Genomic DNA, 15,361 nt, shown 5'->3' on the forward strand with positions numbered 1-15,361 from the left:
ACTGCCAATGCCCAATACCAATTAATTCGTTTCAGTGAAATTATCCTGAAAATGAACACTGACCATCATAATGCCAAATCCACTGAACACAATTCTGTGTTAATCACGCGGCCATTCCTGTGACATGTGATTGCTTTCACCTTTCACTCTTTTGACACATTTTTCCTCCCTAGGCATCCACAACATTGCTTTCACCTGATTCTCCTGAGGTTGCTCTTCTTGGCCTCTGTGACCGCCTCTGTCACAGACACACCTGAGGTGCTCTATCTTCTACCTACAGTAATGACTCCGAAATCTACACCTACGTCCAGTCCCTTCGTTTCAGACTCATATTCACAATGGCCTTCTGGATCCATCCACCTGGCTGCACTTCAGACACCTAAAACTCAATTGTGCTGAGTTGCTTCCAGGCACACACTGCATCTTATTCATAGTTGCAGGCAGGGTACACAGCACATAAGCACTGACGACACACTGTTGACTGAGACTAGAACTCATCATTTCCCACACCTCCACCCTAAAACCTGCTTCTCCTGTGCTTCTGATTCAGTTAATGACACCAGCATTCACCTAGTCATCTAAATCAGAGACTTTGCAGCGGATTCCCCAAGTTCAGTGATCCTCAGATGCCGACACAAACCCACTGTATGTGCAGCACCCATCTGGATTCCTCCACGTCACCCCGGTGGAACTTGGAGCCAAGGGGCCTGCTTGTGCTGTCTTCTGTGCTGTTCTCAAATTCCACCCCCATTTCTTTAATTCATGATTGGCTGCCATCAGTGCACTAGGTACATATATTCTTCCAATGAACTCACATGTGCATCTTATTATCAACAAGACTGGGAGCTCCTTTGATGGAAGATCAAGACTTATGCTTCCAGTTTATCCTGCACATCTTTGAAAATGGTGTCATCTCAGGATAGCAAGATCCTCTTAAAGATAATCATGTCCAACATTGTAGTAAAAGCACAGGTGGGTTTTGTAATTCTGGGAATGTTAATTAACCTCTCTGAGGTTCTGCTACATAGAAATGCTACAATTACTACTTTTTTTGTTTGTTTGTTTGTTTGTTTTGAGACAGTCTCGCTCTGTCGCCCAGGCTAGAGTGCAGTGGTGCGATTTCAGCTCACTGCAACCTCCGCCTTCCAGGTTGAAGCGATTATCCCACCTCAGCCTCCTGAGTAGCTGGGATTACAGGCACTCACCACCACACCCAGCTAGTTTCTGTATTTTTAGTAGAGACAGGGTTTCACCATGTTGGCCAGTCTGGTCTCAAACTCCTGGCCTCAAGTGATCCACCCACCTCGGCCTCCCAAAGTGCTGGGAGTACAGGGGTGAGCCACCACACCTGGCCTACAATTCCTTTTCAAAGTCTGGTTTGAAGAATAAAATAATGCATTAAAAAGCATTGAACTCCATTGCTCGCAAATAGAAAGTTGTCAAAAAGCAGCTATTTTCTTTTTCTTCAGTCAACACTGTTGAAATGAATGACTAATGGATACCATTTTCTAAAGATATCTTTATCTCCTCAGAGCGAAAGCCCCATACAGTTAAGTCATGGACTTGCATGGAGTGGACCAGTTAGTTTCACGCACTTCCCAGGTCACAGGGCACACTGCTCATCTTGGTCGAGTTTTTGTTTTTTTTTTTAAAGAACATGCTCTGCCAAACACAAGGGGAACTTGAGGAGCAAGCATAGAGATCAATACATCCATTTCCACTCAATCAGCACTTCAATCCATCTCCTTAATTAATAGTTTTGTCAGTGGTTTCTTCCATTTTCAGCACTTAAGAAGTGGAAAAGTCGGACAGTTATTGTTTTATGGAGGTGAGAGGGTAAAAGCTAATGCCAATTAAACAACATTGTATTTTATATTATAAATGTATATTTCTTGAAAAGAGGTCTGGCCAGCCAGAGCAACAAAGTGAGACCCTATCTCTACAAAAAATATTGAAATTAGACAGACATGGTTGTGCACACCTATGTACCAACTCCACAGCAGGCTGCAGCAGGAATATCGCTAGAGCCCAGGAGGTTGAGGTTGAGGATGCAGTGAGTGATGATCATGCCACTGCACTCCAGCCTGGGCAACAGAGGGAGACCCTGTCTCAAAAAAAATAAATAAATAAAAACAAAGAAACCAACCAACAAACAAAAAACAGGAGATTTGGGGAAAAGAATTTAAAAGTATACCTTCTTCTCAAAATGCCTCTGGCCCTATGTGCATATATCCAAATTTCAGTCACTGAGTTGACAGTAGAAACAAAACAATGTTGTAATACATGTGTGTCTCATTCACCATTAGCATGTCAAGCAGATGCTGACAAAACAAGTATCTTCTGTTTTAGCAAATACTGCCAGAAATTTCCATCCACGGTCCTCCTTGGCTCCACATCTGTCAGTGATCTCTCTGAGAATACTGAAGAATCACCAATGACCCCAGGGGTCAAAGCCACCTTCTCCTGTCCCTTCATTTCCTAAGGGTCACCTCTATCTTCACTGACTACCAGCATCTTCTAAGCTTCCTCGCACTTGCTGGGTTTTTCCTTTGCCTGTTGATTCACAGCTGCTTAATTTTGACCGACTTCCTTATGCTTCCCATTCACAAGGCTTCATTTTCAGCAAGCGCTTTTAAATCCTGCCCAGCTATGCCAGAAATCGGTCATCTACTGAAGCTTCCAATCTTGCTTTGGGATCTAGCAATCTTTCCCCGTTGTGTTTGTGTCCAAGCCCCATACAAGGTCCCAAGAAGCAAAACAGAGTGCGTGGACCAGCCACCCTAGGTCCGGACTTCTGGCCTGGCTGCTTTCAGGGCTTCCTGCAATCCACCTGACCTTTCCTGTCCCATCATTCTCTAGCTATCCTCACAGAATCTCCATTCTGGCAGGCAGATCTCATCTCTGCTGCCTAAACCTGCTTTACTCATTCTAGTCTCTGTGTCCTCACTCTCAGGCCATACTTCCTCCTCAAAGAATACATGCCATCCCCTCTCCCGTGCTCACATCATAAGCTTCCTCCCTGGAAGTCCAACCAAAGTTCACCCTCCTCAGTGAAGTCTAAACTCCTCTCGATTCCCTTATTTCCCTGTCATTCACCTGGCACTTAGTAACTAGCAGCCTGCTACAGCTGTTTACCTTTTAATCTAATCTTTTCACAGGCATTTTCTTTTCAAGCCCATGACAGTCATTTCCTCACAGGCATGAACCATAAAGCATGCTTTAAGAAACTGAATATGATGGTAACAGGCAACCCTAAGAAAACTTTTAGGAAGTAAAATCCCCCTAACAAGAACAATCAATTTCACTTTTTCATGTTTCTTTCTAGCTCTTGCCCATTCCTGTATACATTTTTACATAGTAATAATAATAGATTTGATCAGTTACACGTACAGCTTTACATTCTTTTTCCACTAACAGAGAAAACGATCTTCCTTGTTAAATGGTTTTGACTGTCATCATTTTAATCGCTGTATAATAGTCCCTCCATTGAGATACTAGATCATGATTACCAAGGCACTGACTCTACATTGACTCTATTAGACATTATTACATACTTCTGTGTCTTTCACCACATCAAGTATTGGAAAATGCCAAGTAAACTCATTTGAAATATCTCCTGAAATAAATTTCTTGTCCATTCTCCCTAACACCTGAAATAATCTATTTCACTGTTTCTATCTTCATTTCTTTCGTTTCCCGGTTCTACCCCCTTAGGCTAGGTAGGTAACAAAGGTATTCCAAACACCTTTTATAGATATTTACTTATTTTGGTAGTTGATCTTATACAGATTTACACACAGGAAATCCCTTGAGGAAAAGCATTAAGATCTCATCCTATCTAATATAAGCCAGATACCTGGCAGGCACTCAATCAATGTTTGCTTACCTATTAAATGTTTTTTAAGCCACCTAAAGTTAGAAAACATCAAATTCCTGGAAAGGAGAATGTTGCTGATCTAACTAATCCCACCAATTACGGCTACAGAACTTTCAGCTCCTGTAATGATTAGACGGGTTAATAATGTATGAATGGGTGTTCTGTGCGGCACATGGAAGCACACAAGAATTATCTGTTTAGCTGTACAGTCTGAACAACAACACTGGAAAACAAACGATATCTGCAAATAGAACTTGAAGATCTTGTGACAAAAATTTACCCTTTTCTCTAGTTGTTTAGCTTTGCATCTCAGATGAAGAAAGGCAAAATAAAGGTTGTAATATTAAAATTATGTAAAATTACATACACGTGTGAGCACAAACTGGCATGGAAATGAAAAGCTGTTAGGATGAAGAAAGTATGTGAACTTTTTTCTTTTTCTTTTTCCTTTTGTTAGTGGAATGTTAAAATAAATGTATGACTAGACAAATATTTCTGACAAATTAGCCATTACAACTCTTCCTGTTACTGAATTAGGGCCTAATGCTTAACCTTCAAATAACTAAGGTTCCCAAACCCACATACAGTTTAGCAGAAAGACTAAAATACTCTCACTTCGAGGATAACTGTTAAATAATAAATCAGCTAACCACCTTAAAACTCCAAACACCTAAGCACAACCACTGAATCACACAAGAACTTAATACACCAGAGTTTTCTGGAAATTTTCAGATTTTCCTCAAAAGATAGCTAATGTGATTCCAAATATCAGAGTCTACACAGTAAAACTACATCATCACAGTAACCCATTCTCATCCCCGTCCTCTTTTATAGATAGCGATTTATAAGGTTGCTTCCGGCACCTATATGATAGAAACTATTAGGACTCAAGTTTTACTCTTTGTCATAATTATACAGTATTACATAATACTAATAACTGTTCAAAGTAATATTCTTTTCAAAATTACTGGAAAGGTTCCTACAGATCATACAAGGAAGAAAAAAAAGGAAATTACTGGAAAGAAATATGGTTTTGTTTTAGTCTTTTTTTTTTTTGAGACAGAGTTTCACTCTTGTCGCCCAGGGTGGAGCACAGTGGCACGATCTTGGCTCACTGCAACCTCCGCCTCCTGGGTTCAGGCTATTCTCCCGCCTCAGCCTCCTTAGTAGCTGGGATTACAGGCGTCCACCACCACGCCCGGCTAATTTTTTGTATTTTTAGTAGAGACAGGGTTTTGCCATGTTAGGCAGGCTGGTCTCGAACTCCTGACCTCAGGTGATCCACCCGCCTCGGCCTCCCAAAGTGCTGGGATTATAAGCGTAAGCCACCGTGCCTGGCCTGTTTTAGTCTTTTTATACAAACTTTGGACACCAATTTTTAAAAATCACTGGATTTACAATCCCACCACACTGTATTCCATAATAACCTTTATATTTATGTGAACAATTACTTCATAACAAAAATGGAAAAGAACAAATTTATGTGTGGTAATCACTGAAAAAAGAAGTCCACATGCACGTCAGGAAATATAAGGCTAAGAATGGGCACTAAGTGAACACAGGAGGTACTTTACACCAAATAATGCACTTCTCTATATAGGCTAATGGAATCTATGGGTAAACCTCAATTTCAAAATGATTGTTGAACCCAAGGATCAGCTCACATCCGTTCCACAGCTAAAACTATTATTCTTTGCCTTCCTCTAAACTCTGATGTTTATTACAACCTTATCAATGGCAATTTATAAGAGAAAAGCATAAGAATTTCCCTCAAAAAGTGAAACCAATGGGGAAAGGGAGAGGGAAAGGGCTCTAAATATCTGAGATGTCTTTTGTGGTGGTTGGTTAGCGGCCTCTTTTTAGCACTGACATTTCCAAGTTTTTTGTGAAAAGGAAATTTTAAGAATGTGCTGAAACCATCCTTTCAGAATCAATTCCCAGATAAGTTATGTTTCATTTGGCTTCTTTCTTTAAATTATTGTGATGGTAAACTGGAAGTAAACTGAAATACAGATACCTGAATATTTAAAAACTGATGCTTCTGAAAATTTTCAGAATTGTATCGACGTTTATTGTGTGTTGTCAGAGCACGAGATTAGTGAAGCAAAGCAGGACTCAATCTTGCACTAGTTGAGAACTTAAAGTAATTAAGTTCTTAGGGAAAAAAACTCACCTGACAGCTTTAATCGGACCTAGCAGGAACAGGACAAAACAATTCCCATAGATGAGATAACTCCAAGCGAGAAACCAATTTCCCCGAGAAGGACAAACCAACAAAGCTTATGTCAACTGGTTGATCTGTATGTCTCAATATATACAAAAGAAAGCAAAGAAGAGGAAAACAACCTATAATTTCTACATAAAAATTAAACAACACTTGATTTTGCTAAGAAGCTACAACTTTGTCTCTGGTACTTAAATGATTCTAATTAGTTCAAAGTCTCATCAATGGCAAAGTCATCTCCTGAGACAGTAATAGTGACCCCCAATGACAGGACCTTGTATATAAAGCGTTTTCAAACACATTATCTTATTTAAAGCAACTCACCCAGTCATGCTGCTTTGACTATCAAAGCCAAGACCCAGCCCACCTCCTCCCCTGACTTTTGGGGTTCTCTCCACTCCCCGGGTCTACAGATTATTTAAATGTACTCGGTTTATCTGCCTTCTCTACACTCCCTGCAGAGTTAAGAGAATGTCAGAAAGATACAATTCCACAAGAATCTTGGCACTTTAGCTATTTATTGAGAGATGATGAATGAGACTTCAGGCAAAACCAAAACTTTCTCAACTGTCCAAAAACAACGAAAAGGGCATCTCCTCCACCTGACCCCAATCTCAGGACGCCCAGGTGGAAGGAACTCGCCGCGGGGCACCCGCCTGGCCCCCTGCCCTTCTTCCCGCCGCGGGCCAAGGCGGTGCAGGCTTGGGCGACCCGGGCGAGACGCGGGGTCCCGGGGGGTCCCGGGCGGTCCCGAGGCGGGCTGCAGGGGCTGGCGACCCGCGCGCGGGGGCGACGATGACAGCTGGCGGGGAAGGAGCGAGGCTGAGGGGCCAGGACGAGGCTGGGCGCGAGGGCCGAGGGCGCCCTCGGGAACCTCCGGGGGAGACGAGAGGGCAAAAGGGCGCAGGGGCGGGGCGGGCGCAGGCGGAAGGGGCAGCGGGGCCGGCACGAGGGGCCCGACGGCGCCAGGGACGGGGCTGGCCAGGGGGGAAGGGAGGGGAGAAGAGGGAGCCGGGCGTCTCAGCGCGGGAGCGGGTTTCAGGGTCCCCGGGCCCCTCCTCGCGCCCCGCCGCTGACTATAGGGGCGGGGCCGCCGGACCCCCCACGGCGGCCGAGGGAAGGGCGCGCCAGGCACCTGCCGCCTCCGCCCCGGCGGCCCAGGAGGGCTCGGCTCTCACCTCGCCGGTTCATGGGTCGTATCCGCACCGCCACTTTCACTTTGGAGTCCCCCATCCTGCAGCCGCCGAGGAACTCGTTCGGCTTCCGTCTGCCGCGGCCACCGGCGACTCTTCGGGGTTGACCCGGCGGGAGGGGGCCGGGGGCGGAGCCGGGGGTGGGGACCGGGCTGGGGGCGGGGCCGGCGCGAGCTCCGGGCGCTCCCCGCTGTATGGCGGGACTTGTAGTTCCCCAGGGTCGTCGTGGGCGGGGCCGCAGCGAAGGCGGGGGCGGGAATGCTCGGGCGCGAGTCGTTTGCTACAACTTACCTACAGCAATGACGGCTTTTGTAAATTACACACCATTCTTGCTCTCGCAGCCAGTATTGAGAAGTAAGCCTTCAAGAGCTGATACCTCTTCTGAAAAACAATTGAATAGATGGCGTCAGGGACCCCGCTACCTCTTCCTGCTCATTTCCTGCCAATCTTAGTGTTTGATCCCTGGCTCAAGTTATTTCCTCTGCCTGGATTGACGTCCGGCCTTGTTTGCTGAGCTCGTCCTTCACGACAAGTTGCAAATCACGTTTTCTGGGAGTGTCCATAGGTCCACGGGTTAACATTGTCCTGTGAGTCCCCCTCCTTTGAGACAGGACCTTGGGCTCTGAAAACCATCTGAGTTCAAAGCCCACCTCAGCGCTTCCCACTGTGTGACCAGGGGCAAGTTATTTGACCGCTCTGGGCTTGTCTTTAATATGAAAAGTGGATATGATACTAATACCTAGTAAAATAGGTACATTTTTAAATAAGATTAACATATGTGTAACCTAGCCTTTAGTAGAGACCCATAAACATTAATTGCATGAATTAATGAATGAGGCCACACTAAAATTAGCTTTTTATTAGCCCTGGCAGACATTCTAACAGGTGGCCTGGGTGCCAGAGCCAGCACGCAAACATGTTCTGTTTGGCCCAACAGTGTTGGCCAACACATAAAAATCAGATTTGTGGCCAGGTGCAGGGGCTCACACCTGGAATCCCAGCATTTTAGGATGCTGAGGCAGGAGGATTGCTTGAGGCCAGGAGTTTGAGACCAGCTTGGGTAACAGAGTGTGAAATCAGATTTGTGCATGCAGTACTGGGCCTACATTACATATTGGACAGAGTGGATTGGAACTAAATAGCAGCAGCCACCTTTATCAGAGACCCGTCTCTCCACTTCACCACGGCCCCCCTCCAGGTGGCTTTACCACACATGCGCCTGGACCTTGTGGGTTTGTGACCCCTGCTTAGATGTGTTTAAATGATAGTAATAGAACTCAGAACCATTTTACAGATGAGTAAATACAGAAAGCTGGTAAGACTTGCCCTTTTACCAACCATCCTGTTATTGAGTATCTTCAATACAAGCAATGTTGTCAAAAAGTATAAAAATACTTTTTTTTTTTTGAGATGGATCTAGCTCTGTCACCCAGGCTGGAGTACAGTGGCATGATCTCGGCTCACTGCAACCTCCACCTCCTGGCTTCAAGCGACTCTCATGCCTCAACCTCGACAGTAGCTGGGATTACAGGCATGTGCCACCAATCCTGGCTAATTTTCATATTTTTAGTAGAGACGTAGTTTTGCCATGTTGACCAGGCTGGTCTCGAACTCCTGACCTCAGGTGATCCACCCACCTCAGTCTCCCAAAGTGCTGGGATTACAGGCATAAGCCACTGTGTCCGGTCTAAAAATACCTTTAAAAGAAAGGAAATTCTGAAACATGCTGCAACATGGATGATGGGCCTTGAAAACATTATGCTAGGTGAAATAAGCCAGACACAAAAGAACAACCACTGCATGGTTCTACATATATGAGATACACATGGTAGTCAAATTCATGGAGATAGAAAGTAGACTGGAGGTTACTAAGGGCTAGGAGAAGGGGGTATGAGGAGTTAGTATTCAATGGGTGCAGAGATTCGGCTTGGGAAGATTTCAGCTGCGGAAATGAATGGTGGTGATGGTTGCACAACAATGTAAATGTACTTAACGCCACCTAACCACTTAAGAGTGGTTAAGGCAGTAAGGTTTTTTGGGTTTTTTTAGAGACAGGATCTCGCTCTGTTTGCCCAGACTGGAGTGCAGTGGTGTGATCATAGCTCACTGCAGCCTCAAACTCCTGGGCTCAAGCGATTTTCCTGCTTCAGCCTCTCACCTAGATGGAATTACAGGTACGCACCACGACACCTAGCTAATTTTTATATTTCATTTTTTGGTAGAGATGGAGTCTCGCTATGTTGTCCAGGCTGGTCTTGAACTCTTGGCCTCAAGTAATCCTCCTCACTTCAGCCTCCCAAAGCACTAGGATTACAGGTGTGAGCCATTACACCCAGCCAAGATGGTAAGCTTTTTGTTGTTGTTTGTTTGTTTGTTTGAGATGGAGTCTTGCTCTGTCGCCCAGGCTGGAATGCAGTGAGTGACATGATCTCTGCTCACTGCAGTCTCTGCCTCCTGGGTTCAAGTGATTCTCCTGCCTCAGCCTCCAGAGTGACTGGGATTACAGGTGTGCACCATCACACACAGCTAATTTTTATATTTTTAATAGAGATGGGGATTCACCATGTTGGCCAGGCTGGTCTCAAACTCTTGACCTCAAGTGATCCACCCACCTCAGCCCCCCCAAAATGCTGGGATTACAGGTGTGAGCCACTGTGCCTGGCCAATAGTAAGTTTTATGTTACGTGTTTTTTATCAAAATTTCAAAAAAGGTTAAAAATAGAAAATGCTACCCCAGAAGGCCCTCTTTTTTAAAAAAGGAAATTTCTTTCTTAGGGGCACTGCCTCTGCACTTCAGGAGGTCTCATCTAGACCAGCAGTGGGTTTAGTGCAGCAGGTCCTTTGATTTTCACAGCCCAATAAAGTAAACAACATCAGGATAACCAAATTAGGATTGCCAATCTCAGTGTTTGACACTATGACAGCTTCTTAATTTTAGCAAGTATATATTTTTTTGAGACAGGGTCTCATTCTGTGCCCAGGCTGGAGTGCAGTGGCACCATCTTAGCTCACTGCAGCCTCAACCTCCCAGGCTCAAGCGATCCTCCCACCTTAGCCTCCCAAGTAGCTGGGACTACAAGCATGCACCACCATGCCCAGCTGATTTTTAAATTTTTTGTAGAAACAGTGTCTCGCTATGTTACCCACTCTGGTCTTGAACCCATGACCTCAAGTGATCCTCCCACCTCAGCCTCCCAAAGTGTTGGAATTACAGGTGTGAGCCATTGTGCTAGGTCACCGAGTAAATTATTTGAAAAAGAATGCACACAAAAATTACTATCTACCATCACTATCTTTTTTTTTTTTTAAAAAAGATCATAAAGGGTATGATTTTATATTGAAATTGTTTTGCCCTACTGTTCTTTTGCTCTTATTTAGTGTTGAAGTCACCTTTGCCATGGCCCCAGACTGGTTACCACAGGTTGGTACTCTTGTCTTAAACACACATCCTAATTACCACCTCCCTACATTCAGGTTATAAAAAATAAGGATTTGGAATGTCCCAAGATTCCATACGTCACTTTATATCTCTTTTATAACCAGGTAAATTTAATTTTTAAATGGCACGTCCTGGTGCTAGCTTGAATCTGGCTTTTTAAACAGAGTCAAAGCAGGCAGAAAAAGAGAACAAGAGAACATTTCTATGGAAATATTGTGTTTAAACTTAAGCTGAAACTGAAAAGAGAGGAAAGCCCCTAAGGACCTCAAGGAAGGGAAGAATAGAATAGAGAAGAAGTGAGGACTTTCTCTAAAGTCCTCAAAACCATTTAAAATGTTCTGAAAATATTTAGAGGAAAAGGACAGTAGCCTCCCTAGGGACTGCAGGGAAGAACCCCTGTGAGCTGTTTCCCCTTTTGACTTCTGTTCATACTACTCTGTCTCCTTTGACTTTTGCAGTGAAGATGATTCTTAAAAGAGAGCCCAGCCAGGCGCGGTGGCTCACGCCTGTAATCCCAGCACTTTGGGAGGCCGAGGCGGGTGGATCACAAGGTCAGGAGATGGAGACCATCCTGGCTAACACAGCGAAACCCCGTTTCTACTAAAAATACAAAAAAAATTTGCTGGGCGTGGTGGCGGGCACCTGTAGTCCCAGCTACTCCGGAGACTGATGCAGGAGAATGGCGTGAACCTGGGAGGCAGAGCTTGCAGTGAGCTGAGATCGCGCCACTGCATTACAGCCTGGGCGACAAAGTGAGACTCCGTCTTCTAAAAAAGAAAAGAAAAGAAAAAGAAAAAAAGAGAGAGAGCCCAAGACTAGAAATGCCCATATCTTCCCATGGAAAGTGTTCCTCTGATAGGCGGGAGACAGAGGACCAAATTGCAAGTTACAACCTGCAGCCTGGGAGTTTCAGGGGCTTCAACACCAAATGAAATTGGAGAACTATCAACAGGATTCAGGGTTCAGCACAGGCTCCAGCAAGACAGAGAGAAAAGTCCTGGTTTTTCTCTCTCTCTTTTTTCTCTTTTTTTTTTTTTTTTCCGAGACAGGGTCTCGCCCTGTCGCCCAGGCTGGAATGCAGTGGCACAGTCTCGGCTCACTGCAACCTCCTCCTCCTGGGCTCAAGTGATTCTTCTGCCTCAGCCTCCCGAGTAGCTGGGATCACAGGCGCCCACGACCATGCCCGGCTAATTTTTGTAGTTCTAGTGGAGACGGGGTTTCGCCATGTTGGTCAGGCTGGTCTCAAACTCGCCACCTCAGGTGATCCGCCCACCTCGGTTTCCCAGGGTACTGGGATGACAGGTGTGATCCACTGCACCTGGCCAGTTTCTCTCTTTTCAACTATTAGAGGAAAAAGAAACAAAGAACTAGTAAATAAGGCATTCCCTTGTACCTGTTTCTTAAAGCAAGTACTTAGGAAATCAACAAGTATTTATGGTGTAGATTCTATAGCCATTTTGATAGAGCTGTTGAATTTTAGCTGTGCAGATAAGGAGTTTCTCATTTTTTGCCCTCACATTTTGCAAATCTGCTCATTCCTAAACTGATTTCTAGTTTTCTTTTTATGGCTTTGATCTACCCATTCAGTAGTTTCTGATGGTCCCTTCATAGGCTATAGAAGTCACTTTGTCCTATCTTTTTTTTTTTGAGATGGAGTCTTGCTGTGTCACGATTTCCCTGCTTGCCTGAGACCTACCTTTGTGAGAGCACTTAGTTTTCCCAATTATAAGCATACCTTCATCTGCCTCCCCAGCTACGCTGTGCTACTGTGTGCTCTTTGAGCCTGGATAAAGTGTCTTTTGTTTTTGAGACAGGGTCTCGCTCTGTTGCCCAGGCTGGAGTACAGTGGCACAATCATGGCTCATTGCAGCCTCAAACTCCTGGGCTCAAATGAGCCTCCAACCTCAGCCTCCTAAGTAGCTGGAACTACAGGCATACATCACCACTCCTAGCTAATTTTTGTATTTTTTGTCTCACTGTGTTGCCCAGGCTGGTCTCCAATTCCTAGGCTCAAGCAATCACCTGCCTCAAGCCTCCCAAAGTACTGGGATTACAGACATGAGCCACGACACCCAGCTTGAAAGTGTCTTTTTATTATTATTATTAATATTTTTTTTTTTTTGAGATGAAGTCTCGCTCTGTTGCCCAGGTTGGAGTACAGTGGCGCAATCTCGGCTCACCGCGCAACCTCTGCCTCCCAGGTTCCGGGGATTCTCCTGCCTCAGCCTCCCGAGTAGCTGGGATTACAAGCATGCGCCACCACGCCCAGCTAATTTTTGTAGTTTTAGTAGAGATAGGCTTTCATCATGTTGGCCAGGCTGGTCTTGAACTCCTGACCTCAGGTGATCCACCCATCTCAGCTTCCCAAAGTGCTGGGATTACAGGCATGACCACCGCACCTGGCCGAAAGTATCTTTTTAAAGTCTCTTGATCTCTAACACCTCGTATAGTGGCTGGTACTTAGTAGGCACTTAACACATTGGAGAATGAAGATATTAACCACATGGCATTATCATTACTCTCAGCTTAAATGGCTTGCCTCAAGCCACGCAGCTGGTAGGTGGCAGAGTTGGAATGCAAACACAAATTTGTTTGATTCCACAAATCTTTGCCCTTTCCACAAACAAGGCCCTACATGTCCCCTTACATATTTTTCAGGTGTACATTATCTTTCCAGCATTGTGAACTCCTAGTGAAAGCCTAGATCTCACTAATAGCAATGACCTCTTCTAGCTGTTATTTATTGAGTGCTTATGATGTGCCAGGCATTGCATTTAGCACTTCACACATATGATCTCATTTAATTTTCACAACAATCCCATGAGATTGGCACTATTATTATGGCCTTTAACAGAAAGGAAACAGGCCAGCATGGTGGCTCATGCCTATAATCCTAGCACTTTGGGAGGCTGAGGTGGGTTGATCACCTGAGGTCAGGAGTTCAAGACCAACCTGGCCAACATAGTGAAACCCCATCTCTACTAAAAATACAAAAATTAGCCGGGCATGGTGGCGCGTGCCTGTAATCCCAGCTACTCGGGAGGCTGAGACAGGAGAATTGCTTGAACCCAGGAGGCGGAGGTTGCAGTGAGCAGAGATTGCACTGTTGCACTCCAGCCTGGGAGACAGAGCAAGACTCCGTCTCAAAAAGAAACAGAGAGGAAACAGACTTCCTGGGGCCGGTGAACTTGCACACTGACCTGAGTAAGAGATACCTGAATGCAAAGCCCTGGTCCCCTTGTCCAGGCAATAAGATCATTACCACTACTTGCCCTGCCTCTTCATGTAGTGTCTGGTGCTCTCCTGGGTCCACAGCCTTTACTGACACTCCCCAGCAACCAGCCGCCGCAGGGCCACACCTGGACTTTGTCATGATCTTTGGCTGCTCCACCTAGGAAATGAAAAGCAGTCATTCTTATCCAACCTCAACCTCATCCAACCTGACTCACTCGCCTACTCCCAAGTATCCAGACATCGCTCTTAAGCCTCCAATGCCTCAACTTACCCCCTTTGTCACACCGAGGCTTCTCCGGGATTCATTTTATATGTTCGTGCAAAAGTAATTGTGGTTTTTGGCATTACTTTAGGGCAAAAACCACAATTACCTTTGCACCAACCTAATACATCTGCAATCTAAACCTCTGTCTTGACTGTATCATCAACACCACTCATGCCCTGGGAACCCTAAACCTATGTCATCACTCTCCTTTCTCCAAGACTCTCATTTTGGGCAGGGAGCTCAGCTGGAGGAAGTCACAGATCCATGCACATGGTACCCTGAAGAGTTTGTGATCTTTGATCCTAGTGGGGTCCTCAGTAGCACTCCAAACCATTTTTCCTGCTCATACACCTCCAGAGACTTCTACCATCATCACCATTCTCTTCAAGCCCAACCCAACATGACCACCCTCTGTGCCAGATCACCTTGCTTCTACATCCCTGCGAAAATTAGGGCTCAGGCTGGGCATGGTGTTGCGTACCTGTAGTCCCAACTATCTGGGAGGCTGAGGCAGGAGGACCACTTGAGCCCAGGAATTTGAGGCTGCACTAAGCCGTGATTGCACCTCCTGGGAATAGCCACTGCTTTGTAGCCTGGACAACATAGCGAGACCTCATCTCTCTCTCTCTCTCCTTTTTTTTTTTTTTTTTGAGTTTGGGTCTCACTATGTTGCCCAGCCTGGTCTAGAACTCCTGGGATCAAGTGATTCCCCTCTCCTTGACCTCCCAAAGTGCTAGAATTACGGGCATGAGACACCACACCCAGCCAAGACCCCTATCTCTTTAAAAAAAAAATAGGGCTCTCAGGTGAAAATTCCCTAAACTTCCTACCCCCACAGTTTTTTCTGTGACTGCGTCCAGCACTAACTTCCCCCTCAGTGGCCAAAGTAGATGTGTCTTCATCTCAAGGCTAAGGCCGCTCTTCCATACTCTTCACACCACCTCCATGGCACTGTTGTTCTATTAGCCGTTCTCTGATACATTCAACCTTTCCTTCTCCATTAACCCCTTATCCTCAGCTGAGAACCTCCCATGGAAAAACAAGAACAAACAGTAACACTATAAGAAAAAACAAGGACAATTTCCCGAAGTCTTCCTACCTCCTCAGGAGCCAGCTCTCCCCGCAACAT

General features: G+C 45.3%; 1 protein-coding gene across 6 annotated transcripts in view, besides 1 other annotated feature; it reads right to left on the reverse strand.

Moving 5' to 3' along the window:
• The window catches only part of KIF13B (kinesin family member 13B), a 196,111-nt gene extending 188,423 nt beyond the window's left edge, over positions 1-7,688 (reverse strand). For 5 of the 6 annotated variants that reach the window (XM_005273458.2, NM_015254.4, XM_011544458.2 and 2 more), the window contains exon 1: positions 7,280-7,370. In XM_005273458.2, the coding sequence (XP_005273515.1) occupies positions 7,280-7,334 (55 nt within the window). In that variant the 5' untranslated portion in view covers positions 7,335-7,370. Of the gene's footprint in view, positions 1-7,279; positions 7,371-7,585 lie in introns of those variants that run through there. The other variant, XM_011544459.4, reaches the window with a different exon arrangement.
• Positions 6,748-7,577: a silencer, noted in NCBI's record as "silent region_19069". NCBI's record gives its function as "represses an Ori minimal core promoter by ATAC-STARR-seq in GM12878 lymphoblastoid cells {active_cell/tissue: GM12878}" and the evidence as "EXISTENCE:reporter gene assay evidence [ECO:0000049][PMID:35858748]".
• Positions 7,689-15,361: the final 7,673 nt, after the last annotated feature.

Source organism: Homo sapiens, chromosome 8 (genome assembly GCF_000001405.40).
Source record: "Homo sapiens chromosome 8, GRCh38.p14 Primary Assembly".
Taxonomy (NCBI): Eukaryota; Metazoa; Chordata; class Mammalia; order Primates; family Hominidae; genus Homo; species Homo sapiens.